Source organism: Homo sapiens, chromosome 10 (genome assembly GCF_000001405.40).
Source record: "Homo sapiens chromosome 10, GRCh38.p14 Primary Assembly".
In the NCBI taxonomy this organism is placed as follows: domain Eukaryota; kingdom Metazoa; phylum Chordata; class Mammalia; order Primates; family Hominidae; genus Homo; species Homo sapiens.
This window is the reverse complement of record NC_000010.11, coordinates 15235877-15258509: the sequence shown is the minus strand read 5'-3', so window position 1 is coordinate 15258509 and position 22633 is coordinate 15235877. Positions and strand designations below refer to the sequence as shown.

The 22633-nt window shown below is 44.7% G+C and overlaps 1 protein-coding gene and 1 long non-coding RNA gene across 5 annotated transcripts in view, besides 2 other annotated features; one reads left to right on the top strand and one right to left on the bottom strand.

The window, feature by feature from the left end:
• FAM171A1 (family with sequence similarity 171 member A1) overlaps positions 1-22633 on the top strand; it is a 162912-nt gene that overhangs the window by 116045 nt on the left and 24234 nt on the right. For all 3 annotated transcript variants that reach the window (XM_017015904.2, NM_001010924.2, XM_011519378.3), the window contains exons 4-5: positions 3631-3789; positions 9695-9871. In XM_017015904.2, coding sequence (XP_016871393.1) covers positions 3631-3789; positions 9695-9871 — 336 coding nt within the window. The remainder of the gene's footprint in view (positions 1-3630; positions 3790-9694; positions 9872-22633) is intronic.
• Positions 2153-2796: an enhancer, noted in NCBI's record as "NANOG-H3K27ac hESC enhancer chr10:15297713-15298356 (GRCh37/hg19 assembly coordinates)". NCBI's record gives its function as "activates a minimal SCP1, AML or CMV promoter by ChIP-STARR-seq in naive H9 embryonic stem cells {active_cell/tissue: H9 hESC(naive)}" and the evidence as "EXISTENCE:reporter gene assay evidence [ECO:0000049][PMID:30033119]".
• Positions 9779-10280: an enhancer, noted in NCBI's record as "H3K4me1 hESC enhancer chr10:15290229-15290730 (GRCh37/hg19 assembly coordinates)". NCBI's record gives its function as "activates a minimal SCP1, AML or CMV promoter by ChIP-STARR-seq in naive H9 embryonic stem cells {active_cell/tissue: H9 hESC(naive)}" and the evidence as "EXISTENCE:reporter gene assay evidence [ECO:0000049][PMID:30033119]".
• The window catches only part of FAM171A1-AS1 (FAM171A1 antisense RNA 1), a 32653-nt gene continuing 27290 nt past the window's right edge, over positions 17271-22633 (bottom strand). The window contains exons 2-3 of one of the 2 annotated variants that reach the window (XR_007062068.1): positions 20846-20991; positions 17271-17363 (exon numbers count right to left, since the gene is read on the bottom strand). This is a non-coding gene — a long non-coding RNA (FAM171A1 antisense RNA 1). Of the gene's footprint in view, positions 17364-20687; positions 20742-20845; positions 20992-22633 lie in introns of those variants that run through there. The other variant, XR_930696.3, reaches the window with a different exon arrangement.

Genomic DNA, 22633 nt, shown 5'->3' with positions numbered 1-22633 from the left:
ATGAGTATTTTTGTTGGTTGGGGAGGAAAAGCCTATAGAGAAAGAGATTGCTGACGAAGGCAAAAACAGGTGGTTGAGCCAAGTCTTACAATGAATAAGCAAAAGTTAAATTAGAGGCTTGGATTGACCTTGGAGGTGGTTAGGGGCAGAAGAGAAGAGGGAAGAACAGATTTTTGAAAGCAGAGAGTTGGGAGGCTGAGGCAGGCGGATCACCTGAGGTCAGGAGATCGAGACCAGCCTGGCCAATGTGATGAAACCTCATATCTACTAAAAATACAAAAATTAGCCAGGTGTGGTGGTGGGCACTTGTAATCGCAGCTACTTGGGAGGCTGAGGCAGGAGAATTGCTTGAACCCAGGAGGCAGAGGTTGCAGTAAGCCGAGATCACGCCACTGCACTCCAGCCTGGGCAACAGAGCAAGACTCTCTCTGAGAAAAAAAAGAAAAAGAAAAAGAGAAAAGAAAGAAATGCAGCGAGAGGAAGCGGGGACCCCCGTATTTTCAGGAGAGCAGGGTCTGAGTATTTTGGGGATGGGGATGGAGCCCTACAGGCTTATCCACTGCCTACCCTGCCACCCCCTCCCAATCATATTCCTTTCTGTAGTGTGGAACTATTTAGCGGCTTTAGTACACGGAGGCAGGCTTAAGAATATAACCGCTCCCCCAACCCCATGCATACCATCTTTCGATTTTATTTGTGCTGTGGCTCAGAATAGCTTGCACCCTTAAATTCCTCACGTGCTGCTTCAGTCATTTTCATCACCATAGGTGTTGCCTGTGCTTTGTGGTGGGGTGTTTAGTCCCTCATGGATGGTACCCGTGTCGTGCCAGTCCCAGGGTGTGTCAGATAAGCTGCACCGGCCATATCCTTTCCATGAGGATCTGCCCCCACATAGCCTGCTACATACCCCCAGCCCCCAGCCCCAGCAGATAGACCCTGGATGTCTGGCCAGGGACCAAATTCTCCTGCACAAGTGGGGAGAGAGATGTGTTGCCCACCCAAATGCATGTAACACTTGATCTGCTCGAGAAGGCACGAGAAGCAGAGGATCAGGGGGAGACACCAGGGCCCTGAGAGCTGGGGAGAGCAGCCTGGGTTTCTGGTTCTCTGGGTCCCAGGCCAGTCCCCGTAAGTCCTGGCTAGGCTGCGTATCCTGGGCCCATTCCCCGGCTCCCCCTTGTCTTTCAGCAACCCTCAGTCCAGTCGGAGAAGGTTTCTGTGCCCCACTGCCCTCACACAGGTCTCTGCCAGCCCATCTCACAGGGGCTCCTCCTAAGGCCTGGAGGGGTGCACTTTTCCTTCCCTGCTCTGGGATCACCAACCCAGCTTCTGCCTCTGCCCGGACCCTCATGAGGACAGGCTCCCTCTTTGCTCCATCACATGTAGACTCACCATTCTTGTTCTCTTCCTATTAGCAGAGTGCTTTACTTTTCCACCATGTGAGACCCAGGCTTCTACACAGGGGCTTGTTCATTGAATACTATCAGCAGCATTATTTAGCCGGAAAACCAGTAGATAACATATATTTCCTGATCATTGAAAAAAATACCAGAAGCAATGAATGTTGTTATATCATCCGGAGTGAGGAGATGAGAAAGAATGCTGGCTTTGACCTTCCATCCTGGAGGGCAGCGTGGAAAGGGAGAAGAAAAGCAAGCTGTGCGCCATGTGTGTGGGCAAGGGGGAGAAGGGATGAGAAACAGACTGCCCCTGGCAGGACACAGAGCGTTTGTGGGACCCCCGAGGAATTTGAACTCTCCACAGACCAAGGAGGTGGCAGGAGTAAGACATCGGTATTCTGTAACATCGAGGGAAAATAAGACCAGACTAAGAAGAATACAATAATGTTAAAATACCCAGATCCCCAGAGGCTGGTGTGTCGCTGTGGGTTTGTTTTAGGGATGAAGAAGGGGAATCGATGGTCTGGAGCTAGACTAATGTCTGTGTCTGTTTAGTTTCAGCAGAGATGACCGGAGTTAGATAGGACTCTCATGATTTTGGGCACCTGCTCGCTGGGCTCTAAACCTGGGCCTGGATTTCACAGAGTGGAGAACCAGCCCCTGGAGAAGTCTACCTGCTAGTTTTTAAAAGGAAGAGGGAGCATTGTGACTCCCTGCCAGTTAGGCAGTGTGTAGCCAAGACAGGCTGCCCCCGACATAAGTCCTTTGGACCTCAGTGACTTCACCTTTAAGAAGAGAGACTTGGGCTAGTGGATTCTTGGAGCTCTAAAACTCCCTTTTTCTAGAACACGTCTAGACAGGCTTCTTCACTCCTTACAAGTTCTTTGATCCAGAGTTAAAAGGAACCCTGGAGTGGAGATAAAGCCCACCAGCTCCGTGCAGAGCTGTTGAAGCAGGACAGCAGGGGGCCGGGAGAAGGAACCCTCAGCAAAGCACAGGTGGAATGTGGTCTGCCTCAAGCCTGGGGTTGGATCTACAGTTTTTCTCTTAACAATGCTTTTGCCAGGTTTGCACAAAATTACCTAGCACCTTTACGTCTGGTGAATATCACCGCAGCATTAGGTAAAAACCAGTTCAGGTTTTATGATCAAAACAACATCTGGGCCAGGCGCGGTGGCTCACACCTGTAATCCCAACACTTTGGGAGGCTGAGGCGGGTGGATCACCTGAGGTCAGGAGTTCAAGACCAGCCTGGCCAACATGGTGAAACCCTGCCTCTACTAAAAATACAAAAATTAGCTGGGTGTGGTGGCGGGCACCTGTAATCCCAGCTACTTGGGAGACTGAGGCAGGGGAATCGCTTGAACGGGAGGCAGAGGTTGCAGGGAGTTGAGATCACACCGCTGCACTCCAGCCTGGGCGACAAGAGCAAAACTCCATCTCAAAAAAAAAAAAGAAGAAGAAAAGAAAAAGAAAATTTGGAGCAAAGTTAAGCTGCAGAGGACGGCACAACCAACTGTCTAGGGCCTGTCAGCCCAACCTGTCCTCCTACACAAAGGAGTTGAGTTTGGTGAAGAAGCATCATTTTGCATCATTTCAAAAGTCTCATCCTAAATTCTGTGACATAATCCATCACAAGTAGGAAGCACGCCTCCAGAATAGACTGGATGATGACAAATGGCAGCTCCCACAGAAAGAGAAGATTCATTGCCGCTGGGGTATTGTTTGCAATTCTTTTCAAGGTTGCACTGTTAATTCCCTTGCCCTCCTTCAATTTGGTTCATGGCATTAAACCAGATTTTTCCAGGGAGATTAAAGACGGGTTTGCAGCGGTATCAAAGAGTATCTCTTACATTGTTTGAGTAAAGAGATTAATAGTCATCTACTTGTTTCATTTACATGGAGTTTCCCAAAATGCTACCCAGATCCACAGGCAAATGCTGGGCAGTGACAAGACTGCTTGCACATGGAACTTGGAAAAAGCTTTTTGTTAAAAACCTAAATAACATCCTGTGTCAAAACAAATGTGACAATGGGCTATTATTTCTCTCCCCATAATAGCATGTTGTCACATCTCTGTGTCCTGCATGAATGGGGGAAGGGAGGCCTTGTGAGAGGGAGCAGGGTGGGGGAGGCGTGCTGAAACCTTAGAGAGGCACTTCCTGGTTTTGCATTTTCTAAAAACAGAAACTGCTCCTGGGGGAGATAACTCGGAGGTTAATCTCTGCAGGTGCCCGGCCACAGCCTCGCGTTCATTTCCAGAGAAGGGCTCTGAGGTTGCCTGAGAACACCAGCTACAGTGACCTGACCGCGTTTCTCACGGCCGCCAGCTCCCCTTCGGAGGTGGACAGTTTTCCTTATTTGCGAGGATTAGACGGAAATGGAACAGGTAATTGGAGTCTTTTCTCTTTTCAGTGGGAGTTACTGTGTTTTAGTCTTTACATGTGGATTTTAGGTATGATTGGGAGTTTTAGCACTATGTGGGAGAAAGGCACTGAAGGTGCAGAAGGGGAATTCTTGGTACAAGTTCAAGTGCTTTGAAACTGTGTTACGTCGGTACGAGCCCTGCAGAATTACATGTTAGCACATTGGTCTCCTTGAGCTTTTCTTCTGTTACCAGTTGCCTTAAGCACCTTCTCTGAGCTCTCCTTTGGTGGACTAAATATATTCAATTCAGAGAAATTCTTATTGAAATTGCAATTTTTTTAAGTATAAGATTAGACTTAGGGTTTTTGGCCCAGCTGCCCTCTGCCTCGTCCCACGAGCCCCCATTTGAGAGGGTAGCCTGTGGGTGGGTGGGGCTGGTAGAGACTTACCACCCCACCCACCTATGCTGCAGCCAGGAGGGGAAGAGGTGGTGCTTGGTCCAACTCAGAGACAGGCATACCTTGGCTCCATGCCCCACCGGCATGGGGACCACTTAGGATGGGGAGCCTCCGCCCTCTGCCATCTGTGTCCACCCAGCTCTTTCCCACATCGTTTCTTTCTCTGCACTTGCTCTCTCTGTCCTCAACTGGGCATAGAGTGGCCAGGCTTTGAATTTGCTTTAGAATCCGCCCTCTCCTGGCAGGTCTCTAAGTCAGCTGGGTCAGTACCACTATTCTGGCATGCCACAGCTAAAAGATCAGAGAAACTAAAAGCCATCCACCAGAAAATAAGTGATAATTCCTTATCAGAGAAAGACCCAAGACGGGTACCTTCCACCTCTGTTTGTGTCCAACTGCACCATTCTCTGGACCCCTTTGCACTGGAATGGTCCCCACTCCTCCTGGTGGAAGAGGTGTCAGGATTCTGGAGTCCTGAATTATTTTCTTGTCTACCCCACTTTCCTTTCCCCCACACTTTAAACTAATCACAGCATTAAAATTTTAAATCAAAGGCTGTTCTGAGTTGCATTCTGCTAGGAGAGTAACTCACTGCATTTCCCAGGGATACTTGGCTTGAATTTCACTTAATTTTCCAGTGCTTTACATAAACTGATTATTCTGAAAAAGCTTTTAAACCTGAAACATTTGATCCATTTTGTAGCATATTAATAAGTTTCTGGTTATACATAAAGGCAACATGGTGATTTGTTACTCATTTTTCTTCTCTCTGTTTTCCAAAACGTTTCTTCTTTAATTTTTGTGTGCTGATGAGGATGTGATTAACTTGTCAGTAAATATGTCAGTACTTGGTCATCAGAAAGATGGCATAGCAGTCATCTTAAGTAAACATTATTAGGAAAAAAAAATGTTGACTATTACTTGAAATGTGCCGGTCTGGGAGAAAAGTCTTGTTTTGGGGAGCATGAAGAAGTGGTTTAAGGCTGGGTGCGGTGGCTCATGCCTGTAATCCCAGCACTTTGGGAGGCCGAGGTGGGTGGATCATTTGAGGTCAGAAGTTTGAGACCAGCCTGGCCAACATGATGAAATGCTGCGTCTACTAAAAATACAAAAATTAGCTGGGTGTGGTGGCAGGTGCCTGTAGTTCTAGCTACTCAGGAAGCTGAGGCAGGAGAATCGCTTGAACCCAGAAGGTGGAGGTTGCAGTGAGCCAAGATCGTGCCACTGCACTCCAGCCTGAGCAACAGATCTAAACTCTGTCTCAAAAAAAAACAAAAAAACAAAGTTTTAAAATATCATAGCCAGCATCCAGCCTCCCGGACAAAATGGTGCACGATCCACAAAACCCTAACTTGGAGGGACAGCCTCCGTGCTCGGGACTCATTAAATTTTTCTGTGCCCCACTTCCAGTAGCTCTTGAATAAATTATGCAGTCTGAGAAAATGGGGGAAAACGAACACTAAGACACAGAACTATTGATTTTAGAGGAGTTTGTCCTATTTTAAGATCATTCCGTGATTTCAAAGGGAAGAGAGGTCTTTGCAATGTGACATGAAATTTCTCTTCCACGGAAAGAATGGATGACTTGACCTAGAAATGACTAGGCTTTCTTGGAGACCTAGCAGCGAAGGCATCCACCCATAGTGAATTCACACGCGCCCTCGGGGACTTGGAACCTGGGCTCCCTTGAGCACAGACACCTCAGTAACTCACCAGCTCCATGGCGGCCCCTGGGGTCAGTTTGCACACAGCTTGTCTTTTGCCCACAGTCACTCATCTCCTGTTTTACTAAAGGCATCTAAGAGCTCACAGCCTAAAGAGAGCACGCCTGGACCAGACGTGTCTTTGGAAGATGACACAAGTTCATCTCCCGAAGACGCAGAAAATGACTAGCGTCATAACCAGAGTTCAGTGAAGGTGGATGGAAACAGAGAGGCTGCGGAAGAGACTGGAAAGGGCTCCGAAAGGCTGTTTTCTGGGGGTACCATGAAGGTTGTGTTGTTTGGTTTAGAGGGTGGATCCAGAGTTGTAAGTAAGTGGAGAAGCATCTTCTCTTTCTAGCTCTTGGGGGCCCCCTCCTCTCACCGGAGAGCATCGCACTCTTCCCCCAGCTGCTGAGAAAGCACAGAATGTTCCGTGGTGTTCCCAAGGGGTTTTTACAAAAATTGCTTTCACTAATAACTCCAGGAAGACAGAGAAGAGTCAATAAAATGACAGGTGCAGACTTTTCCTGCAATTCCAAAAAGTTGGTAGAATACAGAGCCCAACAGAACCTTAGATGTCAGCTGAGCAGAACCTGTCACGTGACGAGTGACCAGGTAGATGGCCCAAGGTGATACAGCTCCTCTCCTCGCTTGGGCCAGTGGTGTTCTGCCCCGCAACACGATCCTGCTGCATTTGCCTGACACCTGCTTGTCTTTGTGCAGACTTAAAGGGAGCCAGGCAACATCCAGATGGAACGGGAAGGATGACCACTTTCTATATAAAACTCAGTATTTTGTGTAAAATTGGAGTTTCATAACAAAGAGAAGGAAAATAGTTTAGCCCTTCAAAATGTGAATTGTTGCAGAATAGGCCAGGCGCGATGGCTCACACCTGTAATCCCAGCACTTTGGGAGGCCGAGGCGGGTGGATCACTGGGAGGGAGGTCAGGAGTTCAAGACCAGCCTGACCAACCTCATCTCTACTAAAAATACAAAAACAAAGAAAAAAAAATTAGCAAGGAGTGGTGGTGTGTGCCTGTTGTCCCAGCTACTCAGGAGGCTGAGGCAGGAAAATTGCTTGAACTGAGAAGGCAGAGGCTGCAGTGAGCCAAGATTGCACCATTGCACTCCACTCTGGGTGACAGAGCAAGACTCTGTCTAAAAAAAAAAAAAAAAAAATCGTTGCAGAATAAACAACATGGGGACATAGAGGGAGAGTCATTGGGAAGGCATAGAGAAGCAGGCATTTAATGAAGCCCTGAGGGAGGAAAGAGGCCTCAAGAAGGCAGATATAATTCCCCACAATGTCTTAAGACAGCTAGAGGACACTAAAGGGACATGAAATCCCATGAACCTAATGCACATTGCTGTCCATTAATATGCTCGTTTCTGCAATGCTCTACTTACTTCTGAATGTTTCAAGCTGAGTGTACTTATTTCCATAGATGCAGGAAGGCATCTAGTCTACCCTCCTTAGTTTTGAAGGTAAGAAAAACAGACCCCAGAGGAATGAAGTCACTTTCAGAGGTGACATAGGCAGTGAGTGGCAGATCTGGTACTGGGACTCCATCTTCCTGGGCTGGGAATGTGCAGGAAGGGAGAGTTGAAAGGTGACAAGGGAGGAGAAGGGAGACACCATTTCTAGGGCTTTTCTCCTCTATCTACCAAGTACCTGCTACCTACGTACTTGGACATCTTGACTAGAGTTTGATGAAAGAAAACAGCACTCCCTGATGGAAAACATTATCTCTCAGTTGTTTATACAGTCTAGTAAATTATTTAATGTCTCTGTAGTTTCTCTTTTTTTGTTTTGTTTTGTTTTGAGACAGGGTGTCACTCTGTCACCCAGGATGGATTGCAGTGGTGTGATCATAGCTCACTGCAGCCTTCACTTCCCAGGCTCAAGTGATCCTCCCACATCAGCCTCCTGAGTAGCTGGAACTGTAGGCATGCACCACCATGCCCAGCTAATTTTTTGTATTTTTTTGTGCAAACGGGGTTTCACTATGTTGCCCAAGCTGTTCTTGAACTCCTGGGCTCAAGCAACCTGCCTCGGCCTCCCAAAGTGCCAGTATTACAGGCATGCGCCACTGCGCCTGGCCAGCTTTTCTGTAGTTGTAAGTTCCATCTTCCTGAGAGGGCCTAACAGAATCTAGAGCAGTAGATTGTAGACCTGGCTTTGCTTCTCTATCAACTTTGAGCTGCTGGCACATTTGTGTTTCAAGACACAAAATCTTTGGACCAGAAACATGGTAAATTCTGAGTTTTGTTGGTTGGTTGTTTTTTTACCATAAAATGACATAACCAGACTAAGAGATTTCAAAACTTGGATCTGTGATTCCAACTTCGATCTTTCCACGAAATCTCCATTCCCACACCTTTGCCTTCATTAAAAAACAGACGGGTATGAATGATAAAAGGTAGGGTGGCATTAGCTGTGTAGAAATTGCTGTATGAAGGATTTAGCTGTAATTCATTGTTGAGACTCTAAAATTCACTAGGTTTTCTTTAAATGTTTAAATGTAGACCAGATTGGAGGTTTACATCAGCTCAGTTTGGTAGGTAGGTAAGTATATAAGTAGCTGAATAAAAAGTCCTATAGATTGTATTTTAATGCAGCTTAAATTTTTTATCGCTGTGTTTTTGTCATTGTGCTCAAAGAAATATGTAAAATTATGACAACACAGTTTGTGCGATATTGTATTTCACTAGAGGAAAATGTAAAATGGATTGCTTGAGTGCATAAATATATCGGTCTCATAAGCATTCTCTAATTTATCTGTAGGCAGTCATTAAAGCTTTGGCTTGGACCAAAGGCCTTTAATGGAAAATAATTGGTATACTGAGGTCCTTTTAAACAGATCAAAATAACAATGGCAATTAAAATAACTCATAAATATTTCAAGTCCAGTCCTCAATAGCATACTTTTTAGCAGAAGTTAATATTTTTGAAGCAATCCTTGAAGAAATTTGCTATGTTAAAAAAAAAGCAGCCTCTGCTCTAAAACATTTGGTTTTATTAAGGTTATCTGCCAAGTAATTAACATGTGCATGGGGCTCACTTTGTGTAAAAGTTATTTCCGGTGATTTCCACTTACACCTTTGTCTCACATTATAGAAAAATCCTTCTCTTTTGAGATCGTTTTTGAAAGCAAAACACAATAATGAAAAATAGCAAGCCTGACCGGGCACAGTGGCTTAAGTCTATAATCCCAGCACAGGCCTGGGATTGCCAAGGCAGGCAGATCACCTGAGGTCAGGAGTTTGAGACCAGCCTGGCCAATATGGCAAAACCCCATCTTCACTAAAAATACAAAAATTATCCATCAGGGTAGTGGAAGCCTGTAATACCGGCTACTTGGGAGGCTGAGGCAGGAGGATCGCTTGAACCCAGGAGGTGGAGGTTACAGTGAGCTGAGATTGTGCCATCGCACTCCAGCCTGGGCAACGGAATGAGACTTCATCTCAAAAAAAAAAAAAAAAGAAAAAAGAAAACCTGAGCCTAGATTCCAGCTCAGCCCATACTGAGTGTATGCCCTTAGGCCACCTACCATTACTACTCTCTCTGAGCCTGTTTCTTTGTGTGTAAAAATGACGATTTTACCTGCCTTACTGGGTTGTGGTGAGGATTATGTATGTAAAGTGCTTCATGCAGTCCCTGGCATATAGGAGGTAATGGTAGCTGCGACTATTTTTTTGCAAAGGTTTCCACAGCCCCACATGGGTACTTTGCATGCAAATGATGGAAAATGCCTCTTCCTTCTAGGAAACAGCACCAGGCATGACCTGACCCCAGTCACAGCCGTCAGCGTCCACTTGCTGAGCAGTAATGGAACGCCGGTGCTGGTGGATGGTCCCATCTATGTCACTGTGCCCCTGGCCACGCAGAGCAGCCTGAGGCACAATGCCTATGTCGCGGCGTGGCGGTTTGACCAGAAGCTGGGTAAGCAAGAGTTCTGTGCCGACAATCGGCTACCAGATGGCTTCGTTACTGTTTGGTTTTCCTTCTAAGAAGCTCATGGAAGTCTCCTTTCCTTGAAGTCAGTGAATGCTGCTGCTCACATTGCATTGTGTGGTTTCTCATGGGGACGGCACCCTTCCCCGTGCCATTCAGACCCTCTCTTGGGAACTCATTTTTTGTTAGTTTTCATATTTGTTTTTGTTTTGCACATTTAACCTAATTTACTTGAAAAGAATCTGTAAAGGTTATTAGAGCTAAAACTGGCTCTCCTAATCTTCATCCTTTTATTCATCAGAAGGTCATATGGTTGCTCTTGGTCATGTGTGGTATTTTTTTTTTCTGTTTTCTGAAAAAGGACAAACATTTGCCAAAACTGTACAAAACAAAGAAAATAAAAATTACCCATAAGTCTCACCACCTAGAGAAAACCACTAATATATCTTGAATTCTGTCCTTCTAGGGCTTTCACAGTGCACGTAGGTATTAGTTATCAACTGCTGTGTAACACCACCCTAAAAGTTAGCTGCTTAAAACAACAGTGAGCTCCAGTATCTCAGAGTTTCTGGGGGTCAGGAATCCAGGTACAGCCGAGCTGGGTGGTAGGGCTCAGAGTCTCTTACAAGGCGGCTGTCAAGCTGTGAGTCAAGGCTGTGGTCCTCTCCAGCAGTGTTCAGCTGGGGCTAATGAGTGTGACTCACAGGGCTGAAGGCAGACCTCACTTCCTTGCCGGCTGTTGACCAGAGGCCTTACCTCCTTACCACGTGGGACCCTCCATAGAGCTGCTTACTACACGGTAGTTTGCTTTCCCCTGAGCAAATGATCCAAGAGTAAATAAAAATGATATAGTAGGCTGGGTGTGGTGGCTGACACCTGTAATCCCAGCACTTTGGGAGGCTGAGGCGGGTGGTTCACTTGAGGCCAAGAGTCTGAGACCAGCCTTTTAAAAGCCCAAGTGCCCAGATTGAGGTCATGGTCTTTTGTAACCTAATCCCAAAAGCAGCATACCATCATTTCTTTCCATTAGGCTGTTGGTCACACAGACCCACACTGGTATAGACCAGCACTGAGAGTAGACTATACAGGGGAGTGAATACCAGGAGGCAGGGGTCACTTGGGGCTGGCTATCTGAGAGGTTGCCTTCTACAAAGCATATTTAGCAGAAATGAGATCATGTGCTGGGTACTGTTTGGGTGCAGTGGCTCACACCTGAAATCCCAACACTTTGGGAGGCTGAGGCGGGAGGATTGCTTGAGCCCAGGAATTCAAAGTCACAGTGAGTGATGTCGCTATGATCGAGCCACTGCACCTCCTAGGCAACAGAACGAGACCACTCACTCACTCAATCAACCAATAATATATACATAAAAATACATTTGTACAGCATGAACATCTTTCCATAGCATCATTATTCTGCCATGTCAATTTTAATAAGTCCATAGTATTCCACCCTGTGGATATATCATACTTCACTTTGGTTCATCAATCCCCTGCAATTAGAAAAAAATGTTACTATTCTAACCAATGCTGTAGAAAATATCTTTCTAGCTAAATCTTTATGCACAGCCTTGGTTATTTCCTTAGGATGACATTTTAGAAGAATTGCTGAGTTACAAAATGTACAAAATTCTAAAACTTTTAAAACATATTTCCAGATTTCCCTCCAGACAGTTGTATTGGTTTGCACTCATGATACCAGCCCACGAGCATGTGCTCGGGCTGAGGGTCTTGGCAGCGTGGGGCCTCTTACCCCCCTTTGCTTCCTAGTGCCCTGAAAGTCAAGCTTGAAAATATCAATTTGCTGCTGGGCACGGTGGCTCACACCTATAATCCCAGCACTTTGGGAGGCAAGGCGGGCAGATCACTTGTGGTCAGGAGTTTGAGACCAACCTGGCCAACATGGTGAAACCCTATCTCTACTAAAAATACAAAAAATTAGCCAGCTGTGGTGGTACATGTCCATAGTCCCAGCTACTTGGGAGGCTAAGTTGGGAGGATCCCTTGAACCTGGGAGGCAGAGGTTGCAGTGAGCCAAGATCGCATCACTGCACTCCAGCCTGGATGACAGAGCAAGACTGTCTCGAAAAAAGAAAATACCAGTTTTCAAATAAGCCAGTTCAGAATTTAAAACTGTTAGACCATGCATGAAGATAATTGGGAGATTTTTGATATCAGTATATTTTCAAAGATATCTAATTCCTCGAATCAGTTAAAACAGAGTTCTAGGAATTATATTTTAAAAGAAACGCCTGTTGGGCTTTTGGAGGGGATTTTTGTTTTGTCTTATTTTTACTTTCCAAATAATTAATAGAGACACTGTAATTATTTGTGTGGAATGCATTGATTTTACCAGCCACAGTAAACTTGATATTGTTAAGTGGATTGTGATGCTGTCTGTTCACATATCCTGCAGTAAGCAAGACGGGCACTTCATTGATGGTGTGTGTTCTCTGAGAGCCTGATAATCTGTTCACATATCCTGCAGTAAGCGAGACGGGCACTTTATTGATGGTGTGTGTTCTCTGTGAGCCTGATAATTTGGGGGGCATCAAGGTCATGGTGGGGACCTGAGGTACACTGTGCCTCCAGGAGGGAGTAGCCTGAGGGATGTGTGACCAAGAGTCTCTGAAGAATGCCGGAATTCTAAAGGGAGGAAGAAAATGGATAAAGAAAAACACAGAGGAAGTGGGCAAGAGAATGGAAAGAGCTTTGAGTTTGTGTTTTGTTTCCTGAAAACCTGGGTTCTGCTACTTATAAAACTGTGAGTCCCACCTTGGGCAAATTACTTACCTCTATTTGCATTTGTAAGAGATATGAATATACACCCCCTTGTATGGTCTGCCTGTCCCCTGTAGCCCTCCCAGGGGGCGCTGAAGCGCACCCAGGTCAATGCACTGAGAAGCAGCGGAGAGTGTGGTTAAGAGCAGGGAGTCTGGGGGGCACAGTGGTGTGGAATGCCAGCTCTGCCACCCACTGGCTGTGTGGCCCTGGCCAAGTTACTTAGCCTTTCTGATCTAGTTTCTTCCACTGTGAAATGGCAATAATAATAGTACCCACTGTTGTTATAATGAGTGTATTAGGATTCTCTAAAGAAACAGAGCCAATAGGAGATATATGTATATTTGGAGAGATTGATTTTAAGGAATGGCTCACACAATTGGGAAGGCTGGCAAGTCCAAAATTGCAAGGCAGGCTGATGAGATGAGGCCCTCCCTCACTGTGGAGAGTGATCTGCTTCACTCAAAGTCAACAGATTGGGCCGGGCACCATGGCTCATGCCTGTAATACCAGCACTTTGGGAGGCCAAGACAGGCAGATCACCTGAGGTCAAGAGTTTGAGACCAGCCTAGCCAATATGGTGAAACCCCATCTTTACTAAAAATACAAAAAATTAGCTGGGCGTGGTGGTGCATGCCTATAATCCCAGCTACGCCAGAGGCTGAGGCAGGAGAATCACTTAAACCCAGGATGTGGAGGTTGAGGTGGGCCAAGATAGCGTCCCCACACTCCAGCTTGGATGACAGAGTGAGACACCGTCTCAAAAAATAAATAAATAAATAAGAAAAAAAAAAGCAAAGTCAACTGGCTGAACAGTTTATCTCTTCTAAACAAAATACCTCCCCAGTCACATCTGGACATATTTAACCACATTTCTGGGGACTGTGGCCTAGCCATGTTGTCAGACAAAATTAGTCATCACAAAAGTAAATGACAGCTTGTCACTTTCACGAGCACAGCCGATCCTTTCCAGTCTCCTCCCCGGCCTCATCCTGAGCACATTGTGCACGTTGCAATGGTCCTATCAGCTTGAACGGCACGGTATGCGGGTGCCAGTTACTCCCTGTGCCCTCCCTGAGTCTGTGCGGGGACCTGTTACTCCCTGCACCCTCACCGAGTCTGTGCAGGTACCAGCCACTCCCTGCACCTTCACCAAGTCTGTGTGGGTACCAGTTACTCCCTATGCCCTCACCAAGTCTATTTATTCTGAATGCTTGTGATCAATAACAGTTTCTGGCATAATGCTAGGTACCCAACTAAAATGTCTGTTGAATGGTTGAATCACATGAGAATAATTTTAGGGTTTTTTGTTTTCTTTTGTTTTTAAGAGACAGGGTCTCCCTCTGTCACCCAGGCTAGAGTGCAATGGTGTGATCATAGCTCACTACAGTCTCTATCTCAAGAGCTGAAGCAATCCTCCCACCTCAGCCCCCTGAAGAACTGGGAGTACAAGGGTGGTCACCAGGCCTAGCTAATTTGGGGGGCTTTTTTGAGACGGAGTCTCACTCTGTCGCCCAAGCTGGCGTGCTGTGGCAAGATCTCAGCTCACTACAACCTCCGCCTCCCAGGTTCAAGTGATTCTAGTGCCTCAGCCTCCCAAGTAGCTGGGATTACAGGTGCCCACCACCACCCCAGGCTAATTTTTGTATTTTTTTAGTAAAGATGGGGTTTCACTATGTTGCCTAGGTGGTCTCGAACTCCTGAGCTCAAGTGATCCACCCACCTCAGCTTCCCACAGTCGTGGGATGACAGGCGTGAGCTACCATGTCTAGCCAATTTAGATATCTTTAAAAGGCAATTTAAGATACTCTGATATGCCTGTAATCCCAGCACTTTGGGAGGCCAAGGTGGGCAGATCACGAGGTTAGGAGATCAAGACCATCCTGGCTAACACGGTGAAACCTCGTCTCTACTAAAAATACAAAAAATTAGCCGGGTGTGGTGGCGGGCGCCTGTAGTCCCAGCTACTCAGGAGGCTGAGACAGGAGAATGGCGTAAGTAAACCCGGGAGGCAGAGCTTGCGGTGAGCTGCTCAGTCAATGTATACATTGACTGTATACATAGAATTTACCTTTATGTATATATGTATATGTACACGTTATAAAAGGATGATGTTTAAGCTCTTGTTTAGAGGGAGGACAGTTCTATTGGATTTTTTTTCTATCTTGGAGCCTCCATCCCTGCTGTTTATTTTTTGCTTCTCATTTTTGCCTTCTCTTTTTTAATGAGTATATTTGAATATGGAGGAATAAGGCTGGGGCTCCTAATATAAGGAAGCCTTCCCTAGGGATTCCTGTATGGGTTGTGTGCACTGTAACTATATGGCACAGGTGTATGAAAGCAGCATCCTTGCTTTCCTCGGTGGACTTTATATACAGTTCACAAATAACAAACTTAAAGAAGTTTTTGATGTCCATGGCAGATGGAACTATCTCTGCATCCTAATCTCCAGGCCCTGTGGATATTACCTTATACGGTCAAGGGACTTGGTGGAAGTGATGAAGAATCTGGAGATGGGGTGATTCTCATGGACTTTCTGGGTGGGCCCACGGCCATCACAAGGGCCCTTATGAGCAGGATGCAAGAGGAGCCAGAATCAGATTAGGAGACGGCAGTGTGAGGATGGGAGCGCAGGCCGGAGCCATGCACTTTGGAAATGCGAGAAGGGGACCCAAGCCAAGGAATACAGGCACCCACTGGAAGCCAAAATCAGCAAGCAAGGGATTCTCCCTTCTGAGCCTCCAGGAGAAACCGGCCCTGTGGACTCCTTGACTTGAGACCAGAGAAACTGGTTTTGGACCTCTGACCTCCAGGAGTATAAGAAAGTAAATCTGTGCTGTTTTAAGACCCTATTATTTGTGGTAATGTTTTTTATAGCAGCAATAGGAAATGAATACAATACAGAAATTGGTGAAAACAGAGGTGTGTGCATTGTTAGGAAGCCTCTGAAATATAAGTTAGCCCATTCTCTGTTTCCTCTCTGAAAAAATAACCATGACAGTACATTGGGAATCTTCATTGTGAAGTTGACCTATTTCCGCTTCCTTTTTTTTTTGAGACGGAGTCCTGCACTGTCAGCCAGACTGGCATGCAGTGGTGCAGTCACAGATCACTGCAGCCTCGACCTCCCAAGCTCAAGCAATCCTCCCACCTCAGCCCCCTGAGTAGCTGGGACGACAGGCACACACCACCACACCTGGCTAATTTGTTTTATTGTTTATTTTCCGTAGACACAAGGTCTCACCATGTTGCCCGGGCTGGTCTCAAATTCCTGGCCTCAAGTGATCCATCTCAGCCTCCCAAAGAGCTGGGATTATAGGCGTGAGCCAACGCGCCCGGCCGAAATGGTCTTTTTAACTTCACATTTACTATGAAAAATGTAACTGCCAAATTCCTGGTTGTAACAGATTGCATGTATGCAGAAAAAAGCCAACGTTTGTGGATAGTCATTCAAAAATAACCAAATGAATTAAAATGTTTTCTGAAAACTTTAAGATGGACATTTCAAAGAAACCATATGTTTTTTCACTTATTATACTCAATAGAAGCCTGCATATTTCATAAGACTTTTGTTGCTATTACATTAATTGTAATATTATCTAAGTAGAAATTAAAATATTTTAGTTAAATAAAAAATCTAAAGACGGTATTAGATCAGGAAAAAAATGGGGAATGGGCCAACACATCTTAAGCACATAAAACAATTTAATAATTAGCTGCTATTTATGATTACAGTAATCGATCATCTCAAATAGTTTAATACTTTAAATTATCTATTTTTGAGGTAAATCAAAATAACTGCCAATTCCAAATTGTTTAACAGCCAGAAATGGCACAGATAGCAACTTGTGAATCTATTAATAATTTTTCATCTAAATTGGGTTTGGCCAACTGTGGCCTGAAAGCTAAGAATCATTTTTACATTTTTAAATGATTAAAGAAAAAAATCAAATGGGGGAATGTTGATCAAGGGGTACAAAGTTTTAGTTCTTCAGGATGATTAAGCTCCAGAGACTTAATGCAAAGCCTGCTAACTGTTGTTAATAGGACTGTACTGTATACTTAAAATTTACTAAGAGGGTGGATTCAAAGTGTTCTCACCACCAAGAGAAAGAAGATGAAAAAACAATGGTAACTGTAAAGTGATGGATATGTTAATTAGCTTGATGTATATATCAAAACATCAGGTCAGACATCTTAAGTACATAAAATTTTTGTTTTTCAACTGTACGTCAATAAATATGGGGGAAATGAATCAAAAGGAGAATATCTCATGGGTCGAAAATTACATGAAATTTATACGTAAGCATCCCTAAATAAAGTTTCACTGGAACCTTGCCAGGCCCATCTGCTGGCATATTGTCTGTGAGTGCTTTTGCACTACAACGCAGGGTTGAATCATTGCAACAGAAACTTATATCCCCACAAACCAAAAATATTTACTATCTGTCCTCTTACAGAAAAAAATAAAAAAATTTAAAAAAAATTGTGACCTCTGGTCTAAATGCCTTCCAGAAGTTCTTTCCATTCTAATATTACAGTGCCAGTGTATTCCACACTCTACAGGAGCAAACTGGGGTGCCCAGACAGCCCCAATGTCCATATTTCCTGTTAGCTGACAGCTCCCCTGTATTTTGCCAGAGTTGACAACTGATACTCAGAGTGACAGCACCTTCATTGTAGGGCCAGACCTCAAACTCTGTAAAGAAAGATGAAATTATTTTATGGTTTGATGGGACTTCTGTTCAAATGATACAATCACATGGTAGTTTTTGTTTGTTTGTGTTTGTTTGTTTGTTTGTTTGTTTGTTTAAAGAAGGGGTCCTGCTCTGTCACCCAGGCTGCAGTGCAATGGTACAATCGGAGCTAGAACTCCTGGGCTCAGGAGATCCTCCTACCTCAGCTTCCTGAGTAGCTGGTACGACAGGTGTGTGCCAGCATGCCCAGCTAATTTGTAAATTTTTTTTTTGTAGAGATAGGGTCTTGCTGTGTTGCCCAGACTGGTCTCAGACTCCTGCCCTCAAGTGATCCTCCCAACTCAGCCTCCCAAGTCACTGGGATTACAACGACTGTGAGCCACCACCCTGCCTCAAAATCACGTTTTAACACTAACTCAGTATATCCATGTTTTAACTCTAACTCACACACTTTAATCCTTGACTGCCAGGAAATTGAAAGTTTACTCTTAGGAGAGAGAACTAGAGATGCTCTCTTTCAAACCCCGTGAGAGTGGGATCAATTTTTGATGCTGCCGTTTTTCACAGTTGTCTTTTAATTTTTTTCTTTTGGAACAAGCAAAGAATTTCCCATTCTTGAAATTGGCATCTTCATATTTCAACCTATATATTCATTAGAAGGTGATCAACTAGATTAACACCATCTTAGAATACAAATAACATTGAATTTGTTTAGCATGTTACAACAGCATGAGTTGGCTAATTGCTATATGGACCCTCAATAAAAATAATTTTATGTGTGTGTGTGTGAGATGGTGTCTCGCTCTGTCACCCAGGCTGGAGTACAGTAGCACAATCTCAGCTCACCGCAACCTCTGCCTCCTGGGTTCAAGTGATTCTCTGGCCTCAGCCTCCCAGCTAGCTGGGACTACAGGTGTGTGCCACCACACCAGGCTAATTTTTGTATTTTTAGTAGAGATGGGGTTTCACCATGTTGACCAGGCTGGTCTCGAACTCCCGACCTCAAGTGATCCGCCTCTGCCTCGGCCTCCCAAAGTGCTGGGATTACAGGCATGAGCTACCACGCCCAGCCTAAAATAAATTTTTTAAGAAGCACGACTTGCATATATAAGTTGAGCATCTCAAATCCAAAAATCCAAGGTTTGAAATGCCCCAAAATCCAAAACTTTTTAAGGTCCATCATGATACTCAAAGGTCATGCCCAAAGGCAATGCTCACTGGAGCATTTTGGATTTTGGATTTTCAGATTAAGTATGTTCAGCAGGTAAGTATAATGCAAATATTCCAAAATCCAAAACACTTCTGGTCCCAAGCATCTTGGATAAAGGATATTCCACCCATACTGGAATCGAGACTTTTGTCACATTGACATGTTTTGTTAAAGCTATTTTGTTAAAATGCTGTGATTCGTAGAGCGAAGGAGCACTCTATTTAGTGGATCTCTTTTCCTTAAAGAATCAGCGGAATATGTAATGATCCAATTGTGCCCTCTCTGTGTCCCGGGTGTCAAGATGTATGTGAGGGGAATGGGTTAAAATGAATTTGTAGCCAGGCACAGTGGCTTACACCTGTAATCCCAGCACTTTGGGAGGCCAAGGTGGGCAGATCACTTGAGGTCAAGAGTTTGAGGCCAGCCTGGTCAACATAGTGAAACCCCATCTCTACTAAAAATACAAAAATTAGCTGGAGCCGGGTGTGGTGGTGGGTGCCTCTAATCCCAGCTTCTTGGGAGGCTGAGAATCCCTTGAACCTGGGAAGTGGAGGTTGCAGTGAGCCAGGATTGTACCATTGCACTCCAGCCTGGGCGACAGAGTGAGACTGTCTCAAAAAAAAATAAAAATAAAAATAAATAAATAAATAAAGTGAATATTTATTGTGCAGTGGCCAATTTGACCTTTGAAAGAAGCAGTTTTCCTTCCCATGTCTGTCAAAGGAAGTTTTGTTAGTCATAGCGAATGCCTCTTAGCTGAGCCTTTCTGGACAGTAAGAGATGATTATGTCAGCTCTATTTTACAGACGTTTACCCTTTCTTTATCCTGTAACTGGGGCAGCAGATGGCTGTCTGATGTACAGGTTGTCAGACGGACATCTGACTTGTTGCCCTGGGGAATGGTCACAGGCAAACCAGGTCAGTGGTTTGAATTTAAAGCGATGGACATCAAGTGGCAAAAAGAATAAATAAAGATTTACGGATCCTGTATTTGATAAGTTTCTCCTGTTTAATGGCAACCTGGATTATATGATTTGGATACTCTCATTCTAATGAGATGATAGAAATAAAAGCATATTCTAAGAGTGAAGCTACATTGTAGAATCCAGTTTTCACTGCCTCTTCAAAACACAGCCTGAGAGTGTGTGGGGGTTGCTATAGAAATGGTGGTTACTGAACCAGCCTCTTACCACGTACGATGCATTCGTGTCAGGCTCTCAGGAATACCCACTCACAATTGGCCTGTAGTAGATTCGTCTGCACTTCAGACGGTGAATGTTACGGCTATGACAAGCTCATTTAATTAGTCCTTTTACCTAAGTGACGGACAACTTGCCCTTGAAGGTGGAGACTCATTTAAAACACAGATCTAAGATTGTTTTTCAGGTTCATTGGGTTTTTAATTGGGGGTGGGGGGGAAGGGCGGCAAAGAGTGGGAGTTCTTAAAGCACAAAATTATGTTTACAACGTAAAGAAAATGAAACTATTATTGAACATGGAAATGATGAGCTTTGGGTGATAATGTCATGTGAATGCAGGCTCATCAATTGTAGCGAAGGCACCTCTCTGGTAGGGGATATTGATCAAGAGGGAGTCTGGGCTGTATGTGGGATATCTGCACCTTCCTTTCAGTTTTGCCGCGAACCTAAATCTGCTCTTTAAAAAATAGTCTTCAGTGAAATCATTATTACAATATTAGCTTATCTTTGTCTCTATATATCACAAGCCACATGACTAGGTGAAGTAACCCAGATTGGAATACTGAGGTGGGTGATTGGATTATAGGGATAAACAGTACTACACTGTGCCCCCAAACATTAGAATGAAAGAAGGGAGTTCATTTCTTTACCAAGTCTGTGCGTAGATGTGTGACGTGATTTTAGAACCTTGGGCATCATCTTTTATTTTTTGAAAAAGAATAGATGCCGTAGTTCAGGGCATTCAGCAAAGGAGGAATTCAACTTACCTAAGGTAATATCAACATATCCCTAAGAAAGCTGTTATTGGAAATAGGCCTTTTTACAGTGGAAATATTCAGAGTCAAGGCTATGGCTTAGAAATAAAGAAATAACTCTCAGGAAAAGTGTCTGTACTTTCCCAGATGTCAAAATCACTCTTAGGGGTGAATGGGGCTTTAATGAGACCGGTAGGGGAAAAGGGGGTAATGTACCTGCAAAAAAAAAAAGCGATTGAAGTGATCACAGATAGCAAAGAACCCGGAGAGCATGGGACTTGTTTGGGTGTGATGACAGTTCAGTGAAAACTTTGTCTCACCAAAGATCTTGGCAGCCAGGCGGTCAGTTGTGACTTTTCATGGAGATGCCAGTTGGTGTCTGTTGCCACTGTGGACTCAGCATCGCAGTGGCTCTGTACCACTCCTGTTCTCCAATGGAGTGCAGGAAGGCCGGGTAGCACTGGTCCTGCCCATGGGAGAACAACCAAGCTGTGATCTCAGAACATCGACATTTGTTTTTCAGTGTTGCCTAGCAACTCAAAAAACAATCTTGTATTATCAATCCATTCCTAGGAATCATTAAGCCTTTTGTGTTTGTCTCCCCCCAAAATGAGAACTTTCATAAAATAATAGCATCACATTTGTTCTAGTATGATCGGGTTCAGGGGGCACTTTTGTTTAAAAACCCCATTCTTAGGGACTTAGGTCTCTTAACGTATCATTTTATGTAGAACTAGAATTTCCCGTCTTGGTATAGCCTGCTTTTGTGATCTTGGAGTTGTAGAGGTTTTATTTTACACTTCATTCTTAGTTACCACTTATGGAGTATTCACTTTGTGGATTATCTGTGGCAAATTTGTGTCTTCCTGCGGGCTTTCCCCATCACCCAGGAGCCTCAAGGCCCTCTTAGTTTGCTGCTATTTGGCCTGGATTTTCTTTTTCAAGTCAGAGTCTCACTCTGCCTCCCAGGTTCAAGCGGTTCTCCTGCCTCAGCCTCCCAAGTAGCTAGGACTACAGGCAAGTGCCACCACACCCAGCATATTTTTGTATTTTTAGTGGAGATGGGGGTATCACCATGTTGGCCAGCGTGGTCTCAAACTTCTGGCCTCAAGTGATCCTCCTGCCTCAGCCTCCCAAAGTGCTGGGATTACAGGCAGTGAGCCACCACGCCCAGTCTGGCCTGGATTTTAAGGACAGCATCTAACACAATCATTCTAATATTAACCTGGGTGAAAAAGAACTAGGAAAGTAAAGCCACTATATTTCAGAATTCAGTACTTTTAAGTATCACCTGGTTTCAGTTGCCTCCACTTGAGTGGGTAATTAGAAGGTAGAATATTATTGATAGATGTGAATATTGCACTGGATGAGACACAGCTGATAGCATTCGTGAACAGGATAGAGGCAGTGTGCAGCCCAGCCACCGAGACGGCTTGGTCTTGAATGCCGGCTCCTCCTCTGGTGACTCGTTGTGTGGTCTTGAGCAAGTCCTTTTTCGTCTCTGGGCTTCAGTTTTCTCCTCTATAAAATGGGGATCATAATAGCCCCAGCCCCTCCCTCATAGAATTGCTGTGAGTGGAGAGTGCCTACCACAGAGCCTGGCGCTTGGAAAACCCTCCGTATGTGTTTGCCGCTCTTATCATCATCATCGCTGCTATTATTTAGCCCATATGCAGTGTGTGATTTTTTTTTTTTTTTTGGAAGCATGATATAAAAGGACAGGTACAGGAAAGCCTTACTGTTTTTAAATTTAACATCCCAGTCTCACCCAAGGTTGCTATTTAGCTGGAATGGCCCTGCCATCCAGTCTGATTGGTCGGGGCCCATACCTGACCAGCTGTTCCATATTTGGAAACATCATTGTTTGGGATTGAACTTCCAAATAACTTTAAAGTTCACAATAAGTGGTGCCTTTTAATTTGGGTACAGCAGGAACGTAAGTCTCTGATGTCCAAAGCGAGTGTTCGTCTAGTGTGTGAGCCTAATGTGCTCCCTGGCTCTGCTCACTCCTATCTCCTGGCTGAACACCGTGGCTCTTTCCAGCAACCTGTGTTATCCTCACCTTGTAGGTGAGGACCCCGAGGATGGGTACTGGGGAGAGATGAAGG